Source organism: Homo sapiens, chromosome 6 (assembly GCF_000001405.40).
Source record: "Homo sapiens chromosome 6, GRCh38.p14 Primary Assembly".
Classification (NCBI taxonomy): Eukaryota; Metazoa; Chordata; class Mammalia; order Primates; family Hominidae; genus Homo; species Homo sapiens.
Window position 1 is genome coordinate 100,670,436 of NC_000006.12, and position 20,576 is coordinate 100,691,011.

At 33.4% G+C, this 20,576-nt stretch overlaps 1 protein-coding gene across 5 annotated transcripts in view; it reads right to left on the reverse strand.

The window, feature by feature from the left end:
- Positions 1–20,576, reverse strand: part of ASCC3 (activating signal cointegrator 1 complex subunit 3) — a 373,136-nt gene that overhangs the window by 162,242 nt on the left and 190,318 nt on the right. For all 5 annotated transcript variants that reach the window (NM_006828.4, XM_011535394.4, XM_047418108.1 and 2 more), the window contains one exon: positions 9,183–9,317. In NM_006828.4, coding sequence (NP_006819.2) covers positions 9,183–9,317 — 135 coding nt within the window. The remainder of the gene's footprint in view (positions 1–9,182; positions 9,318–20,576) is intronic.

Below are 20,576 nucleotides of genomic sequence, written 5' to 3' on the forward strand. Positions count from 1 at the left end.
AAATCATCTCTAGATTACTTATAATACCTAATACAATGTAAGTGTTATATAAGTAGTTATACTGTATTGTTTAGGGAATAATGACAAGGAAAATTCATCTGTGCATGTTCAGAACAGATACAACCATCTTCCCCCCCCCCAAATTCTTTTAATCTGCAGAAAAGTCATCTGTGCATGTTCAGAACAGATACAACCAACTTTTTTTCCCCCCCAAATTCTTTTAATCCGCAGTTGGCTGAATTCATGGAACCCATGGACATGGAGGGCCATCTGTAACAACTGCTGGAGGAAGTATAAATTGGAACAATATCTCCAGTAGGCAGTTTAGGGCCACTCATCAAAATTTTAAATGCATGTAGTACATGACAGATAAATTTCACTGCTACGAATTTTTCTAATGTATATCATTGCAAGAGTAGGAGCGAAAATGTGTACTGCAGCATTGTTAACAATAAAAGGTAACTGGAAACAACAAAAGTATCCATCAATATAGGATTCCATATATGAATTACTGTAATATCCACATTGTGACATATTATACAGTTGCAAAAAGAATGAAACCCATCTTTCTGAGTTGATTTGGAAAGACCTCCTTGTTATATTACTAAATGAAAAAGAAAAAGACAAAAAGGTGTATATAACATGATGCAACTTTTTTGTATTAAAACATATACCCATGCACACAGGCAAACACACAATGGTTGTTGTACAAATCTTTCCTCAAAAGAAATGTAAGAAGCTTTTTAAAAGAAGTTTTATTTGGAGAAATGAAGGACAAAGAGATGGTTAAGACCATAAATTATGGAGCTAAACTTGTTTACTATAAGATGCCTGCTGCTTTCTAAAGCATCAGAAAAATCACTGCTTTTTCTACTCGGTTCTCCAAAGCTAGCACTACACGGAGCCCAGGTTTTGCTACTGTCTGAATAACTACAGAGATATACTTTATCTTGTTCACATTTTGTGAACAGACGATTTGGATTCTCCACAGAAGCCATTTGAGATCCAATACTATACTCACTGGATAAAGTGTTCTACACATGGAAATCCAGCACAAAAGAATACCAGCTGTGAAAAGGTAAAGGAAGTAAGGTATGTAGTTTCAGAACTGTCTAAGTTTGGTTTCCTCTGACTTAATCTTTCCAGTTTTCACAAGTGAACTTTCCACACAGGGCTTTATAGTCAGTAAAACTCAAACGGAATGGGCAACTGCTAAGATAATCCATCAGCACAATTAAGGCATTATATTCCTTTCCCCCAGTGAAAGCATGCAGAACTTCTTTCCACGACTTTACATAACGTTTTCCTACTCATGAGAGAAAAAACACAATGTCAATGCTTTTAAAAATAAGGTAAAAATGTGACTATTTCCCAACATTTACTTCTAAACTAACACAAATACATGATTAAATAACATGATTTTTAAAAAACTGGTAGCAAGCAACTGAGGGTATTACATCTGGTCCTTGCCTAGATTAGACTCATGCCACATAGTTGCCATCTGCCACTCCCTGTCACTATTTACATTTTAGTCATCTTGATTTGTTTTTCTTATTTGCTTCAATGTGCATGTTTTTATGTCAGCCTTTTCTTTGAATTCTTGTCTGTTCTCTTTTGCTTTGTCAACTCCTAGCCTTCAGATCAGCTTAAATGTCACTTTGTTGGTCAACACCATCCTCTAACACCATGGGTCTAGATCAGATTCTCTAACTCAATTTTTTCTTAGCACTTTATCCCTCTTTATTATTTATTTCAAATGTAATTAAAATCAATTATTTAATTAGTTGTTTAATCTTTCTGTCCTTCCAGAATATAAGCTCCATAAGCGTAAAGGGATGACTACTTTTTCCTCCCTAAAAATATTTCCACTTCTAATTAAAGCAAATAATATTAGTCTACATATAATATCTGGTCTTACCTCCTTCTAGGAGTCTTACTGTATTGCCTGGACTGGAATATAATTTCCCAGATCTCATATAGTAAGGTTACTAGATGATAAAGTCCATTCTGCTAATTAAAAGCATTCAGGCAAGATCTGGATGATGGAAATGAAGAGATAACTATCTCTTATTGTGTTTTTCTAGCAAGCAAGATTTTGGAGACAGAAGGGTTGAAAGTTTTAACAGATGTACTATACATTCAAAATTTGGTTTTCTAGTGTGTTCACAAATGTTGGAAGGCATCTGTAGTAATAGCTGTGGCTTTTAAACTGCTAATCACCATCATGTAACTGGTTGTTAAATTCAAGATCTGTAGTAGTAGCTCTGGACTTCTACTCCTCTGATTTTACCAAATTTCTAATAAGTACCTAATTTCTTATATAAATTCTTTTTTATTTAAAATGTACCTAGAATGGTTTCTGTTCCTTTTACTAAATCATAACTGATACATGTGTCTACTTCAATTCACTATAAACAGGTTGACAGCACTTTATTTATATTGATACCCAATGATCTATTAAAATGACTGGTAACCAGCTTACACCGAGTAAATATTTGCTGAGTGATCACGACAAAAAACAGTTTAAGGCTCATGTGTATATAAACAAGTCACAATCACCCAGACTAGCCTAATCCCAATAACTAATTTCCATATGTTATTCTGATTGTGTTAATTATGCACTTTAACTTGGGAGAAAGAAAGTGCTATTTGCTCTGTTTCATGTCATATTCCTTGAAAGATGATCCTAGTTCCCATATGGGCTGTCCTGACTATTAATAGAAATAAGTTGGCATTCCAGAGAGAGGACCCTAATTAGAAAAAGATAAATCTCATCTAAAATTGCATTATTTTAATTCAATTGGCCATCTGTAAATAAATAGAAAAATTAAAAAAATTAAATCACAACATGAAATATGTTTTTGATTTTAAATTTTATCATTACAAATCTCTCTACCCCTAGGAATTTATAACATTATTTATTAATCTGATGTCTTTAGAGTGCTTCCTCTACTCAAGTATTTTCAAGTGAGTGAAAAACAACATTCTAATTAACATATTTTTGTCAAAACAGCATGATTCCTTAACAAGATGTATTAATTTATTGTAAGAAATTTATTCTATGCTTCTAAAATGCATCTTAAAGCACAGAAAAAAAAATAGCTACAATCAAAATTTCCTTAAAAGGAATAACAAAAGAAACAAGGATAAAATTTCAATGCTATTTACTATGTTCTTTAAAAAGAGTCTCACTTATTCAAAGTGAACCACATGTTAGACTACACTGAAATGAACACATGGGCCACAACAATGTCCCTTGATTGGAAGAAAGTGAATCCTACTTTTCAGTACGTGAATTTTGGTCACACAACTTGACTCTTCAACAATCTTCAATAGCTTCTCACTGCATATAAAGTCTAAAAGCCTAGGCATGGAATTTAAAGTCTTCCATTGTCTGACCATGCCTAGCCCTCCATGCACCTTACATTCCTGTGAATAGAGAACATTCTTATTCTCCAAATAAACCCAGAGTTTTCCTTTGCCTGTGTTCTCTTTTTTCTCTCTTTGGAACGTCCTTTCCCTGTTGCTGCCTATTGAAATTTAAAATTACTGGCTTGAATTAATCTGCTTCTCTTTTACATTTCCTCTGAACTGTTTAATCTTGGTGTATATTAACTTTTTCTTTTAATCTTTCCTTTGAAAAATTCCCAGGTTTAGAATTTCAAAGTTAAAAGGTCTGGAATAAGACCCTTGGCTTGGCTTTTAAATCTATTATCAAAAATTTTTTTAAAGTATTGAATTGATCAATACTACAGAAAATCTTCTCAAATCATCTTCAGAATTGGGTACTATTATGTTTAGATTTTGATAATATATTGATGAATATATATTACATAATTTTTTAAGAAATTTTTTTTCATCCAAAGTTTGTTTACCCACTTTATTTCTTCTTCTTGCTTATTTTCTTCCTGGAAACTTCATGTTTTAAGTTATTAAATTTAATAAGTATACATATAAAGATGTAGATATTAACTGGTCTGTTGTTGCTGTTCCTAATATTTCTTCCACCAACCTGCTTACTGCTTTTTACAATTCAATATTATTTTTTATTGTTCCAAAGCATTAAGTTTAATTTTTGTCTCATCTATTATTGTTTTAAACTGTTATCTTCTTTCTCTTCAAAACTCATGGGTAAACATTTACAGAATATCTACCATGTGTTAGGCAAGGTATATGTTAGCTTATTTATTACAGAATTTTTTTTTTTTTTTTTTTGAGACAGAGTCTCCCTCTGTCACCCAGGCTGGAGTGCAGTGGCGCGATCTTGGCTCACTGCAACCTCCGCCTCCCAAGTTCAAGCGATTCTCCTGCCTCAGCCTTCCCAAGTAGTTGGGACTACAGGCGTATGCCACCATGCATGGCTTTTTTTGTATTTTTAGTAGAGACGGGGTTTCACCATGTTGCCAGGCTGATCTCAAACTCCTGACCTCAGGTGACCTGCCTGCCTCGGCCTCCCAAAGTGCTGGGATTACAGGTATGAGCCACTGCAACTGGCCACAAAAATCTTAAAATATAGGCATCATTGCCACTTTGTATGTGATGAAATGTGGCTTGAGGATGTTAAAAAGGCAGAGTGTGTGAATCAACATTAAAACACAGGTTTGCTTAGATCCAAAGTTTTTATTCTATATGAGGTTACCTCCCTTTGAAAACAGAAAAGTCATGCTCCCAAAAATGCAATTAAGCAAACAGTTGTTTTTTTTTTTTTTACAATTTTGTTTGATTTTATTTAAAAAATACTAATACACTTTTGACATCCTATGTGGTGGTAACTGACAGTAAAATTACTATATTAGCCTCCAAGAGGAAAATAGGTTAAGATATGGCAGGGAAAGAATAAACTCTGTGAAGATGATATTTTGCATATATTTAAAGCAAAAAACAAAAGTAAGAGAAAGAGGGCTATTAACCATCCCTGCTACTACTAAGTCTGTTATGCTATCTTTAGTTAACAGATACCATCTCGGAAGAGACGATTCTAATCTGGGCCATACTGACACCGAAGCTGCTCATGCAAAATTAAAGCAAGCTGTAATAGTAAGCATCAGATAACTAAATCAAATTGGCATTAATTCCAGTTGCCATTGATTTAGGCAAAGACTAAAGCTGAACTTATAAAAACAAGGAAATGATTGACAGATCTACATAATAAAAAGTCAGAAAATTATACTTTAAAGCAGCTTGAGGATACGTATTACTATTGGATTCTTCCTCTTTTTATAACTTGTTCAATAGATATTTTCAATAACTACAGACACAAGGCTTATTACGTGGTAGAAATTCTATCTAAAAGACAAACTCTTAACATCACTGATATATGTAAAAATACTGAACTCACATCAGGGCCATAAATCAGAAACATACGGTAAAGGGATGGGTGGGAATACTCAATCCCTATGAGAACAGTTAAAGCCTGTTAAAAATTTGTCCCTAACAGAAAAATTTGATTTGATTGAGATCTCAAGTAAAACAGAATCTGAAAATTCTAACTGAAGGATTCATTTAACTTAAAATTAAAATCACAGTGAAAAACAATGGCTTAATAACGAAAATATATGCATCTTTAATTATATACTTAATTTTATAAATATAAACTGCTGCTATTCCTTGAGGTATGTTCTATTTTATAGAAAACAGTGGTTTCTTAAGACACAATCTTTGAGGGGGAGAGTATACAAGTATTAAATATGTAGGGTAAATTAAGAAAATTTTATCCATATTGTTTATTATCCTTTTGCCATTTTAAAATTTAGTTACTAGTATATATATTTTCTAAAAATAGATTTCTATGACAGGTGAAGTTTTATCATTGTTCAGTTTCCAAAATAATTTCATACATCATTCTATCTGTTTCTCATAGTAAATAACTAGAATAGGTATTATTTACTCCATTATTATTCCATTTGAGAGAAGAGAAAGTACGTTTCAGAAATGTTTAGATGTCCAAGGCCACAAACCTTCTAGAGGTAAAATCACAACCAGACCTTTTTGTGAATGTGTCCTGTTGGTTTGGGCATCATTTGTACATCCTGAGATATTCCTGTGCCCAGGGAGAGCCCCAAGCTCCATTTCTGAAGGTTAAACTACTCCTGGGAGACTTTCCTTTCCTTTCCCTACATTCTTGTTTCAGTGGACAAATCTGGAAATATAGGTAGTTTTTCCCTTGGGGGTGACTTTGATATTAAAGATCAATATTATATGAGAAGTCCTGAGGTGTAACTGTTACTACCAGAGAGAAAAGACTCATTTCAGTTGCAGCTAAGGCATAGAAATAGCCTTATTACAAGCAAATGTATGTGTGCGCGCGCGTGCGCGCACACACACACTCACACACACACACACACACACAAAAGGAGGATTTTCTTAATGGAGTTTTGTTATTTACACAAATAAAAATACATTGTGTTAAATGAAACTGTAAAGAAGTGCTTTTAAAGATCTTAGTAAGTCAGGAATTGAGGTGATTACATTAAACACTTAGGGGTAAGGCATCACTGTGGCATGGTAGGGATTTAGCCATGTAACAGAAGGCATGAGGCTAAATTTCTATGTACTGCTGTAGCAAATTTACCTTCTAATTAAATTTTAATGTTTTGGGTTCTTAATTTCCCATTTTTCAAAAACATGGGAGGAAATGTCTCCCACCATGATGATAATAGATCCCTTGAAATTGCTAGAATGTTAATACCATTTAAGTTCAAAGGCACTTCAAGAAATATGAAGGAATGTACTACTAGCACTAGAGGAATACTCTTAAATTCTAGAGCTCTGAGAAAATATTGAGAAAGATGACCTTATCTTTTGTTATAATATGCACTGTGGAGGGTTTCACTCTTTAAAATCTCTCTTTAGGAGAAGTGAGGGATATAGTTAGGTTGAAGAAATGTTCTTCTATTTTATTTAAAAAAAAAAGACCCCATGCCCTAAGGTCTTCAGAAAGCTCCAGACTGGATTTGATCTGTTTGCTTTTGAACAAATAGAACACAGTGTAGTGAAAATGGTGGACTTTGGAGTCAGACTGGCTCAAATCATGGCCTCACTACTTAATATGAGATTCTCTGTGAAAATTATTTACTTTCTCAGTTTTCGTTTCCTTATCTGTAAAATGGGAATAAGAATCTTAAAGGACAGCACAATGGTACAGGTCAGATGAGAAAATTAAAGTGAAACATCTATTATAATGTCAGTCTCAGAGGAATAAAAGCTAAGAAAAAAAGTAATTCTGGGATACCTACTATCAGACAAATACTCTATGAAAGGCTGGGAATATAAGGGTGAGTAGGACAATGTTCTTAATAAATGTGTGTGCAATTCATTCTTCTTGAAAAAAAAAAGTCTAATAATAGTTGGATCAGGAAAAAAATCAAGTATAATAAAAATATAAAAAAGCTTATAATAAAAATGACTAGGGATTTTCAAGTCTACCCAATTGTATCAAAACTTTCCGTTTCTCTGTTATTTTTCTTCCAGCATAGTGATCTGTGAATTAGTGCTTGGTGACATTGCCTTAAATAAACATCATTTTAAAATATCTCCATATAAATTATTATAATATGCTCTAGAATATTTCATACTATATTTGATTTACACATATGCCATATCAAGGGATAATACCAGCAATATCATAGATTGTAAGGATTGAATGAGTTACATAAAGTAATAAAAACAATGCCTGACACCAGTGACCACTTAATAAATGTTAAGCTTTACAATAACAACAATTAAATAATAAACCGGCATTATTTAAATTAACAATAGTTATCTGAATTGAGATGGATAAAGAAACCAGAAATCCACAAGGTGGCTCTCAAGGCTTGTCTTTTAAACAGCATAGAGTTGTTTTGTACTTCCAAAGAAATGAAACAAGACTTATGAATACCAACTTGACTTTTCAAAGACTCTCATAAATTCATGATTAATAAATAATTGGAAGGACACAAAACTGTACAATCTGTACAATAAGTGTTAGGTAATAAAAGTAAAAAAATAGAAAATGAATAAATTTTGTGTTTCTAAATTGAAAGAGACTCTGATGTTCAAAACAACTGACATCAGCTTAACATAGAATTTAAAATATCAATATAAAATAGTGAAATTTATAGTACAGTCACAATTAAATATATTTTACTAGGATAATAAATATAAAAGGGCATAGCACAATGTCTGGCAGCTAGCAGCTGTTCAGTAACCAATCAGTTAAATCTTACGTTATATATATATATAAAATTTAAAGTTACTATCATTTTATGCCAACAGATTTTTTATTTCATAATTTATTTTCATAGCTTTAAATCAGGAAGTCAGCATACTTTTTCTGCAAAGAAACAGAAAGTAATTTACAGTAGCTATCACAACTACTCTATTTTTCTCCAGTAGTGCAAAAAAAGTCACACAATAAAGAAACTGGTATGTTTATGTTCTGACAAAACTTTAATTACAAAACAGACGGACATCTTTGGCCTTCGGGCCATAATCTGCCCAATCTTCATGTAAATAATTATCTGATATAGTTAAATAAAACCTGATATAAATCTTAAAATACTACCAATACTCAAATTACCTAGAGGAGTACTTCTTAAACTGTAATGTATACAAAATCACCTGAGGATCTAGCTAAAATGTAGATTCTGGTTTGGCGAGTCCGGGTTGGGGCCTAAAGGTCTCCCTTTTTAAAAGGATGCAGGTGACCCCAAGACCTTTTTGTCCTTTGAGCATGTGTACACTGAGTAACAAGCTGTTGACAAACTTTTTGGCTCAGAATTCCTTTACATTGCTTAAAAAAAAAAAAAAAGCCTATTTAGGTTGTATCTGTCAATATTAACCTTAGAAATCAAAACTGAGAAATTTTTAAAAAGTATTAATTCTTTAGAAGTACAATAATAAGCCCATTAGATGTTAACATAGGATATGAAATTTAACTGCATTTTATATTTTAACTATATTTTAAAGAGCAGGACTAGGCACTTCAATTATAACCATATAGAAAGGAATGATAAGTGTTATGTCATAGAGTGAAACCTTTTAATAAAAGATCATTAAGTCAAGAAAAAAGTCAAGATTATAACATCATAAATCTGCAAAATTAACTTCTTGGAAATTGAGACCGTGGATCTTTCACATATAAAATACCCGGGATATGTGGCATGTTACATGCTTTAGTTCTTGTCCTCTTTGTTTCTTACCTGTTTTTCTGCAAGTACATAGTCATGTCCTTGGGTAGGAAAAAAGAAGGGAATATGGCCACAATTTTTTGCTCTTTCTATTAGAGACATAGCTGTTCTTACAGTGGCATTTCGAGCATGTACAAACACCATCACCTGAAAAAAAGGAAAGCAGTTTATTTAATATTCCAATTAATTAAATTACAGCTTAATAGTAGCCTGGATATCATTCCATATAAACAACTATTAATTTCTCAAAACATAATCACAAATTTACGAATTCTCCAACATATCCCTATTTTAGAACAAAGTATATATAGGAAAAAGACAAGTTAAATAAAATTTAGCTTACAAGTTGATAGAAGTTTGTGGAGTCTATAAAATTTGGAGTTTAATTTGTATGTTTCTCTTTTGAATACATAATTCATTATCATAGTCATGTATTATAGAGACAGCATACAAAAATATTGAGAGCTTTCTCATTGGAAGATTACTACCATCAGTTAAATTTCCAGTTCCATAAAGATGTTTCAAGAAATTGAAAACAATAGAGAAAACTCTTCCTTGGACAAAATCATGTCTAAGAACAATCACTTAAAATACAAAGGTTAGGGGACTTCTGGAGATAAAAATGCTTCTGTAGAAGTACCTAGAATTCTCTGTGCAAGCCTTCCTGTGGAATTATTCATGAAGTGACTGGGGATATCTGAACTAGGGGGAAGGTGTGTGCCTGAATGCTGTGTCAAGAAGTGGGGAAAAAATGCATCTTCAGGGACAGTCACCAGGCACGTGTGAATACAACTGAAGAGAATAAGGGAGTGTTTAGCAGCCTGCCTTTGCTCCCTGTCAGTACCTGCCTTCTTTCCTCTGTAAGTTTCTTCTTTGGCCTCTACCTTACATCAGAATCAGCTCAACCCCAGCATTCCCAAAGAGCCATTAGTATGATAAAAATTATTTTCTCATATAGACTACTGCTCTTTTTCAATTTTATCTGGTGTGAATAAAAGCAACTTTACATTGTTAACAATCTGGAATATACAATCTAAAGATAGTATGTGTGGGTGCAGTAAATGACTTAAAGACAAGTTCCCCTAGCCCCTGCTTTCAACTAAATTCACACATCTAAATCTCTGGAATCACTAAGGTATTCTGCTTAGGCCTGAAGCAACTTGGATGTCCTAATCCTTGCACCTCTTCTCAATATCTCCCCTATACTCCTCTGTTAGTTACATTTTTCTGGAAGTTAAAACTTTGATGTTTTTTGCAGGCTATACATTTAGGAGGATATTCAAGAATTGTATCTAGTCAGGGAATCGATAGGCTCATGTGAGCTGACCTAAGTAAAAGAGAGGATCATTTTGAGGACTAACAGAAATGAAAAGGGGAATGAGGTCTGGGATTTGACCAGAAAGGAGACAGGGTGACACAAAGACATCTATACTTCTATAGAGGTATCTCTATATTTAAGCCATAGTAATCTTATGTCTATAAACTTGTCAAGGTAAGTGTTCCACATATGAGATGCTTATTAAAATTCACAGTAAAATCTCAGATAACAATCATTCAAGAAACTGGAATGCTTAAATAACTAATACTATTTTAGGTACATTCAAAGTAAAGGAGAACAGATAATTTGTAGAAGATAAGAAGTTCCTCAAAACAAAGCAAAACAAAAAAACCCAAAATGTTTACAGAAAAACAAAAAGCACTGCAAGTCATCAGGAGAAATTTAATCAGCTAATTAGTTACCAAGGGCATAAATCTTGAGATTTCATACTTTATCAGAGCTCTAACTTATTTACTGATACTAATAGGTTTTGAAAGGAAATATGATCATAAGAACATTTTAAGGCTGGGCGTGGTGGCTCACACCTGTAATCCCAGCACTTTGGGAGGTCAAGGTGGGTGGATCACAAGGTCAAGAGATTGAGACCATCCTGGCCAACATGGTGAAACCCCGTCTCTACTAAAAATACAAAAATTAGCGGGGCGTGGTGGTGCGTGCCTGTAATCTCAGCTACTCAGGAGGCTGAGGCAGGAGAATCGCTTGAACCTGGGAGGCAGAGGTTGCAGTGAGCCGGGATTACGCCACTGCACTCCAGCCTGGCAACAGAGCGAGACTCCGTCTCAAAAAAAAAAAAAAAAAAAAAAGAAAAGAATATTTTAAAAAGAGTACACTAATAGAATTTATTTCAGAAAGTTTGCAGGTACTGGGACATTCTGTTTTCCTAATTTTTCAACTAAAGAAAACAAATCTTTTGATTTTTGATAGGCTCTCTAGCTTTCATGGGCAAACATCTTTACTTCATAGGATGTTAAGAACTGCCACATAGGTTCAAATTGTGATATTTTCGTAATGACTGATAAACACTATTTAATGCTAAGATAGAAAATTCTGTTATAATAATGCCCTGCTGAAGATTCATCAGTTCAGAATTTGTCCAGTTCTATCATTCTATCTCTTGCAAATGGTAGGGACATTTCCATTGTAAGTTTCTTTTTAAAGAGCAAGGCAAATTTTTTTTCTCTAATATAAAAATAAATTTTACCACCCAGAAAACCTCATTAACCCCCAAATTAAATTGTAAGAAAATCGGAATTAAAATGAAGTTTTTTGTAATTTATTTATTCATTCATTCATTCATATGTTTCTAAACATGCATTAACTACCAAGTCCTGATAAAACTGCCATGAAAACGAGAGACAACGCCCCTGCCCTCATGGAGATGAGAATCTATTATGATGAATTAAATAATCACAAAATATTTTTTACTTGATAAATATTTACTAGGCATGTATGTGTAAAACAGAGTTAAAAAATAGTGATGAAAATAGATAAGCTGTGGTCTCTTCCATTAAAAACCTGCACAATTTAAGGAGAAAGATAAAATTGTACACATAACTTAGGCAGTTGAACCAAAGAGAAGATAACATGTGGATAACGTGGGAACCCTAAACATGGAGCTACTTGGTTTTCTGCATTCATCCATCCCAAGATATTTATGCAGTTCCTACTATGTGCCAAATACTGTACCAAGTGCTTAGTACAGCACCAGGAATACTATGATAACTATGTTTCAAAGCTCTAAATTCATACATTACTGTTACGGGGAGAAAAATCCTCTGATAATCATTCCTATCATTCCAAGATTAAAGTTGCATAAAGGAGGCTACAGTTGTATTTGGAATATTTAATTTTGTTATTTTTAGTGTGTTAGCTTGAAGGAGTACATTCTCTTCTAAGGTTTCTCACAGTGAGACCTAGGGACTATTACATCTGAATCACTGCTGCTGCTTGTTAAAATAGATTTCTGGGTCCTCCCTTAAAGCCAGCTGAGTAAGGATATCTAAGGGAGGGGTCTAGAAATTGAATTATTAACAACTACTGAAATGATCACAGCGTTATTGTGTGAAATTGGTTAATAATTACTACCAACTTAATTTTCCCCTCTGAAGCTGAAAGAGGATTAAAAGGTAAAATAAATAAAACCACCACTACAAAGATGTTTTGAGAACCCCCCAATAATATCTTTATTTACCTATACATATGAAATATCAGGAAATTTTAAGGTATTTTATATAACTAATAAGCCCCAACATTATTTTCCAGATGGGGGTTTTATAATGCTACCAGATTTCTATTCTCCATAATTCAAATGCCACATTATGTAAATCCTGTTGAATTAGCAGATATGGAGAACATAAGGGAAAACAGAATACAACCTAAATCTTCATTAATTATTTCAGTCTTACTTGTCAACTTTTCATTTTGCAAATCATTTTCTACTGCAGCCAAGAGAAATATTAGTTACAATTTAAAGTAACAATTTCATTTTATTAAGGAATCCATCATGTCGTGTTAAGTAAAATAAACCCTTTTTTTTAATTAAAAATTTCATTGAAGTCATTACAAGGTTTTGGGTCTCTATAAACACACCTGATTTTATGGTTTGCTAATTTGGTTAATTAACTTAAATAGACTCATATGAAAATCACAAGTAATAGGACAGCATTGTTTCATTTGACAGAAATAACTCCAAATTAATATTAGAAACACTTTTTGGTAACTGAGCAACAGTTAAATTGGTGTGTGTCATTAAAATAAGAACAGAATAGTAAGATTAAGTCAATAATGATGGCAAATTCAGATTTTTATAAAACTTTATGCTTTTATTTGAGTTTTTTAGGTTATGCATTTAAAAATATTTTATATACTATTTTTAGTTTCAAAAGCCATTTCTTCATATTGTTTTATTTTTATTATGGAAAAGTTCACATAGAAACAAAAGTAGGCAGAATGTGGTCATAAACTGCAAAAGCCTTTTATATTTAAAATACATCATGGAATCATTCCCATACTTGGGAAAAAAAAGTATGTAAATTTGAGTTCTGGTCCTGTTATTTGACTTGTCAAAGAAAGTGTTCTTCACATTGAGATGCTGATTAAAATTAATAAAGGAGTAAAAGCTCAGAAAATAATGATTCAGAAAACTGGAATGCTTAAGTAACACATACTGTTTCAGGGTGTATTCAAAGGAAAGAAGGACATATTATTTGAAAAAGATCTGAAAATTCTTCTTTGGAGTACTGCTAAATATCAGTGTGAGTTAGAATAAATTGTTTAATCTCTTCAATTCTTATTTCCCCCAGAACACAGATAAAGAGTTACAATGTATCACAGGATTACTATAAGAATCAAAGGATACAATGTAAGGGAAAACACTGTGTTTAGTAAAATGGTGGCTCTAAAATTTTAGAAAGCTTCAAAATCACCTGGCAGGCTTGTTAAAAACACAGATTGCTGCTGTTTCCCCCAATCCCCTTCCTGACTATATAGGTCTGGGGCAAGCCACGAAACTGCATTTCTAAGGAGTTCAAAGATGCTAATGTTATTGTCCAGAAACTTTGAGAACCTCTGTCATAGCTGGTAAGTATTAGCACCATTATTAGGTCGAATAAACATAAACAAAATTAATTTTGCCTAAAAGATTAAACAGACCAGTATACCACTGTTATACATTGACAACTATGCACTTGTTTATTACTCGTTTACATGCATATGTGCGTGTGTGTATGTGTATTTAACATCACACAAAACAATTTAAAACACTTCCCCTTTAGCAACCTTTTTAAGGGGGTTGTGAAAGATGAACTAGGAATAAAAAAATCGGTAGGAATATTTAATGTGAAATCTTGAATCAAACTCTTTTTTTTTTTTTTTTTTTTTTGAGATGGAGTCTCCCTCTGTCACCCAGGCTGGAATGCAGTGGCGCGATCTCGGCTCACTGCAAACTCCGCCTCCCGGGTTGACACCATTCTCCTGCCTCAGCCTCCAGAGTAGCTGGGACTACAGGCACCCGCCACCACGCCCGGCTAATTTTTTTGTATTTTTAGTAGAGACAGGGTTTCACCGTATTAGCCAGGATGGTCTCGATCTCCTGACCTCGTGATCCGCCAGCCTCGGCCTCCCAAAGTGCTGGGATTACAGGCGTGAGCCACCATGCGCGGCCAAATCAAACCCTCTTTTCTAGGAATACTGCTAAGAAGTGAAGCAGAATGGATATATCTGAAAAAGATACAACAATATGGCAGATAGATGTCCCACAGAAAAAATGTTGCTGAGAAATTTTGTTTTACATTATGTGGCACATATGGCATTGGCTCTTGCAAAAGCTGAGGCTTGGGGTAGGGAGGGTCATGTCCTGGCAGTTTATGTTTTCATTCTAGCCATCACAGCCACTTATCTGTCTTGCTCTCAGTTCTTCTCGACTTTCTTAACCCAGGCTCTTCAAGAGAATTAAGCCCTAAAGACCTACATAAATAGTGATTTAAAAGTGTGTGGTTCCCTGATCAGCAGCATCAGCAGCAGCAGCAGTGTCCCTGAGTCAGAAACTCTGAGGGTGGGGCCCAGCCATTTGTTTTAACAAGCCCTCCAGGTTATTCTGATGCAAGTTAAAATAGGAGAATCCTGTATTAAGGCATCCATCATAAGTTAAAAAAATTATTAGCTTTTCCTCTGTGCATTTACAATAGTTCTGGCAAATACCATCTTCTGAAGAAGTGGGAAAACAGTGTTGTATGGTCTGAATGGGAATGCCACTACAGATATATTTCAGATATATTTATTTATATCCCATGACAGCATGTAGGCACAGAATAGTTTCTGCTGCTGTGATTACATTACCACATTTGTATTATCAGGTAGATACAATTTTAAAAGGTTTCATTGTGCATGCCGTAGATCCAAGAATCATCCATAGTTAGACACTACAAGTCACTACAGAGTTTTTGTTTTAGATCACAGTGCGAGCCAGCTGAAGACACTCAAGTCATCTGACCACATTCTTATTCTTCTAGTACTTCCTCTATCAAATAACTTTCCATATTTAGTTATCTGACTTCTCAATAGTGAGCAAAGAGCCTGGCATACAGCAAATACTCAATGTGTCTTAAGTAAATATAACACATTGAGCCCAATCAAACACACTAGCCCATCACAGCTAATAATGGCAATTTCTGCTTTTTAAAAATAATTTTTGTCTTTTATGTATACTAAAAACATGGGGTTGTTGTGAGAAATGAGACAATATAAACAAAGCATTTACAATAGTGTGTGGTACATAGTAAGTGATCAACAAATGTTAGCAGTTGTTTATTAGAGTATAATTTTGCTCCTTATAATATACTGTATTAATTTTTTGATAGGGTAATATATTTACATAGTTCAAAATTAGAAAGTATAAAAATGTGCACAATGTCTCTACCACCCTTCCCTCTAACCTAGTAGCCACTATGTTTCTTGTGTGTCCTTTGAGAGTTTATGCACATATTTAAACAACTACAAATTCACAATTTTAATCCCTTTTCACCATATGGTAGTAGATTATACACACTGTTTTTCCTTTTTCACTGAACCATATTATCTTGAAGATCTCACATCAGTATAGTTTTCTCATTTATATTTTACAGTTGCATAGTATTCCATTACATAGAAACACCAAAACTTATTTATAATAACTAGTCCTTGTTTGATGGGCATTTATGTTGTTTCCAATCTTTTGTTATTAAAAGCAATGTAATAAATACAGAGTGTATACAGAGTATAACTCTGTACACAAGTCATTTTACATGTTTGTGAATATATCTGTTGGATACATTCATAGAAGTAGAATAGTTAAGTCAAAGTATATAAGACTATTTATTGAACTATGTCCCTATTCTGAATATAATCTGTTTAATTTTGGGGCTTTATTCTTTTCTTATCAATTTGTTGGTCCTTTTTGTATATGAAAGATAGTACACTTTGCTCCTTTTTCTGTATTGTGAATATTGTGTCCTAGTCTGTGCTTTATCTTTTGATTTTTACTTTTGGTATCTCTTCAATACAGACGTAGTTCATTTTTTCTGTACTTAAATCTCTCTCTCTCTCTCTCTCTCTCACACACACACACACACACACACACACACACACAGACCTGATCTCACACATACACACAGAGATGTCCATAATATACTGCTAAGTGAAAAAATATCAATTGAAGAAAAATTTCCATAATATTATCCTGAGTGTGTTGTTATATTCTATAGAGGTGTATGTGAATGTATATGTTTGAAAACAGAGATATGGACACCCTCCAAATTAGTTATCTCACAAAATGAAAACGGGATTTGGTGGGGGATGGGGGAAACAGAATTAAAAAAACAATTTTTTCTTTGTATGTCTTGTATCGTTTGTCTTACCCATTGAAGCAAATCTTTAATAGTTTTTTGTTTGTTTGTTTTTTGAGACAGTGTCTCGCTCTGTCGCCAGGCTGGAGTGCAGTGGCGTGATCTCAGCCCACTGCAACCTCCACCTCCCGGGTTCAAGAGATTCTCCTGCCTCAGCCTCCCGAGTAGCTGGGACTACAGGTGCGCACCACCATGCCTGGCTAAATAGTTTTTATAATTAAATATATAAATTATTTTGAACCGGAGAAATAATTGATAACAATGAGGTTATAATAATATATTCATAATATACTATGGTAATAAGATAGTATATTTGCTATGGTTATTTTACTGCTATGGGTTTTATGGTAAAAAGCCTAAAAAAACACATATTTAGCAATGCACTTAAAAGGGTGATGATAAAACTTGTGGTCTAAGTGATGAATTTATATTTTAGTTTACCTGGAAATGCTTTAGGAAGAAAAAAGAGACATGACCTAGCAGAAGAAATCAACAGCAGTTCAAGGGAAAGTATCCATATGTTCAAACAGAGAAGAGAGCAAATTCATATGGCGGTCAATACAGACTTTTTGTAGAAATGGACATGTGGACAAAAATAATACCACCTGAAAAGGTAAAACATAACCTCATAAAAAATTATATACTAAGATAAAGGAAATCATTCATTTCAAGGCTCAGAAAAAAAAAAACCTGATACTACTAAAAGAAATACCTGAAAAATTATTTTTAAGTTAGAGAAGTATTTTAAACTTAACAGAGAAAGGCCATCATGGTTTAAAACAATATTGATTTTAATAAAGGAATACATATCACATGGTCAAAAAATATGGCTTGAAGAAATATTTTTAAAAAGTACGCAAACCATGGAAAACACCTAAAGACAATCTTGGAATTGTAATTGATAGGACAGAAGACAGGATAATTTTAAAGTGGTGGAGTTATTAAAAAAAAAAAACAACAACAGGAACTCTTGATTCTTTTATTAAAAATGAAGGTGAGCAAGAAAGCATTTAGATATGTATATCTGAGTAAACTGAGTATAAATATTTGAGATAGATCTTATGAAAAAATCTAAGATTTAAACATTTTAAAATATAGTTTTGTGGCTACTGAATTACTTGAAAAGTTTATACATTTTTCATAAAATTTCATTTAAGAAATAAAATAGAAACTCTCATACCTACGTGGAAGAGATGAACATTACTATTACGATTAAGTAGTTTTTCCTGGCTGCTTCCAGATACAAGTGCTGTGATGCCTTATCCTTTTGGGCATCCAAATAATTCAGATGCGTCTCTCTTAAGTGTTTATCACTGCCTATCTTTTATTTTTGACTATTTTTGTGCTTGACTTAGCTCCTCTGCTAGTCTGTGATCATCCAACAATTACGTGACAGGCACTGCGGACATATAACGGGCTCGCCTAGCACTGGTCCCTGTGCTTCTGGAGCTTATATCTAATTATATGGTAAAGGATTGGAGTCTAGGAAGATGATGAACACAGAAGCCACCATTCATTACATGAACAACTATAGGAGGAAGTAACCAAAAATCAATAAATACAATAATGTAGAAATTAACTAGGATCCTCCCTCTCAAAGATGACAAAGTACTTGATTTTAAAGGTCATAACACTCTAAAGTTCTTCATTATTGGCCCTTTGGGTGTTATCTCTCTGAACTCTTCCTGTTGTTTAAAACCTTCATGCATTTGTATATTTCCAGGACGTTAGCCATGTTTTTCACTTAGTCCTCCTGCTGACTGCATCTGTGTAAATTCTATAAACCTACAAAGCCCAGTTCTAGTGATCCTTCTCCAATCTCGCCAGGGAAAATTAATCACTCCCATCACACGTTGTTCATACTTGCACTCTGTGTAATCATAAGCTTACATAGCTCACCCCAATGTTAAGACTAATCATAAAAGACACCATTTATTGGGTCATACTACGTGCTAGGTCCATTACTAGGTACAATACACGTTATCTTACTGTTAACCACATAGCGAGGTAGGTAATTGTATTAGTATTTTACAGAAGAGAAAACTAAAGCTCAGACCATTTTAATAATTTGCCACTCATTCAGAAGAATAGGGAGTTCATCTCAGATTTGCCATTTCAAAGCCTACTTTCTTTCCATCAAGTTATATCTCTTCCTTGAATGCTGCCTGAGGGCAGAGCTTACATTTTGCTAATTTTGAGGTCTACCTACTACCCTTCCTGCTATCATCCAATCAGTGGATGCTCAATAAATATTGCTGAAATTACAATGTTAAAAATGGTCAGTTTTCACAAAGACCACATATTTTTCAGCAGAGATTTGAATTTAAAAGTTTATAAATTATAATAGCTTGTAGGCTGAGTTAATACTTTCCATTCACACCTTTATTAAAATATGAGGTAACAAGCAAACTTCCAATTACTCAACCAAATAATTTTCATGGATAGTTTTATTTAAATTTAACAGCAGACCTCCCATTGCTATTTATTTAATCAGTTAAAGTTGCTGCTGATTAGTTTTTTGATAGTGTTATAGAAATACATGTATGCGTATTTTAGTGCTATTAAAAGGTGTAAAATATGTGATTTAAGAAATAAATTACTTATAAGCTATTCTGAAAGATTAGCTTATAAGAAAAAAAGATATAAAAATTCTGGACTTTAAGGTCAAAATTGGCTTCTAAATCTAAGCTACCTACATTAAAAATTAATCAAATGTATTAACCAAAATACAGTCTTCCCTTGGTATCCATGGGAGACTGGTTTCAGAACCCCTTGTGGATACCAAATGCTTAAGACCCTTATATAAAATGGTGTAGTATTTGCATTTAACCTATGCACATCCTTCTGTATACTTTATATCATATCTTGATAATACCTAATACAATGTAAATGCTTTGTAGATTGTTATTATACTGTATTGTTTAGGGGATAATGACAAGAAAAAAAGTCTACGTGTCCAGTACAGATGCAACCATTCTTTTTTTCCTCAAATATTTTCCATGTGAAGTTGTTGAATCCACAAATGTAGAACCCATGAATATGGAGAGCCAACTGTAATGTACTACTGAACAAGAATAAAGGAAGCATCCTTACTTTGGATAAAGGTAAAAAAATTGACACTACTACATTTGGATTACAACAATAAAACTATAATTTACTAAAAATAGGGCTAAAAATGATAAATGTTAAAATCCTCTATTAATCATGAGTGTATCAATTCGCATTTAACAACCAGCACTTATTATTAGATATTCCTGGCAACCAATCAAATTACTAAAGCACAAGAAGACATAGGTAAACATTTATTAGATATGCCATGAAAATATAAGCTACCTCAAATAGGGTTAATTTATGCTGCCCTAGCTATATAAGACTGTATAATTCACTGACTAGTCTTCATTCATGAAGTTATGTAAATAAGCCAAGGAAAGTAATCCACAATAGTGAGATGTGGTTCCACAGCTCCAAGCTATGTAATAGATCCACACTTGGCAGTTCAGAGCCAGCTCAGGACTCTCATGCAGCTCTTCTCAAGAAACCCAAGCTTTTAAGTGATAAATAGTTTCAGGTTATTATTACTGAATTATATACAGAACACTACTCTGAATGTGAAACATTCCTTATAAATTTCACTTAAAAATCACTTTAATATTTATCAGCTTGTATGTTTGAGTTGAGGAGAGCTTT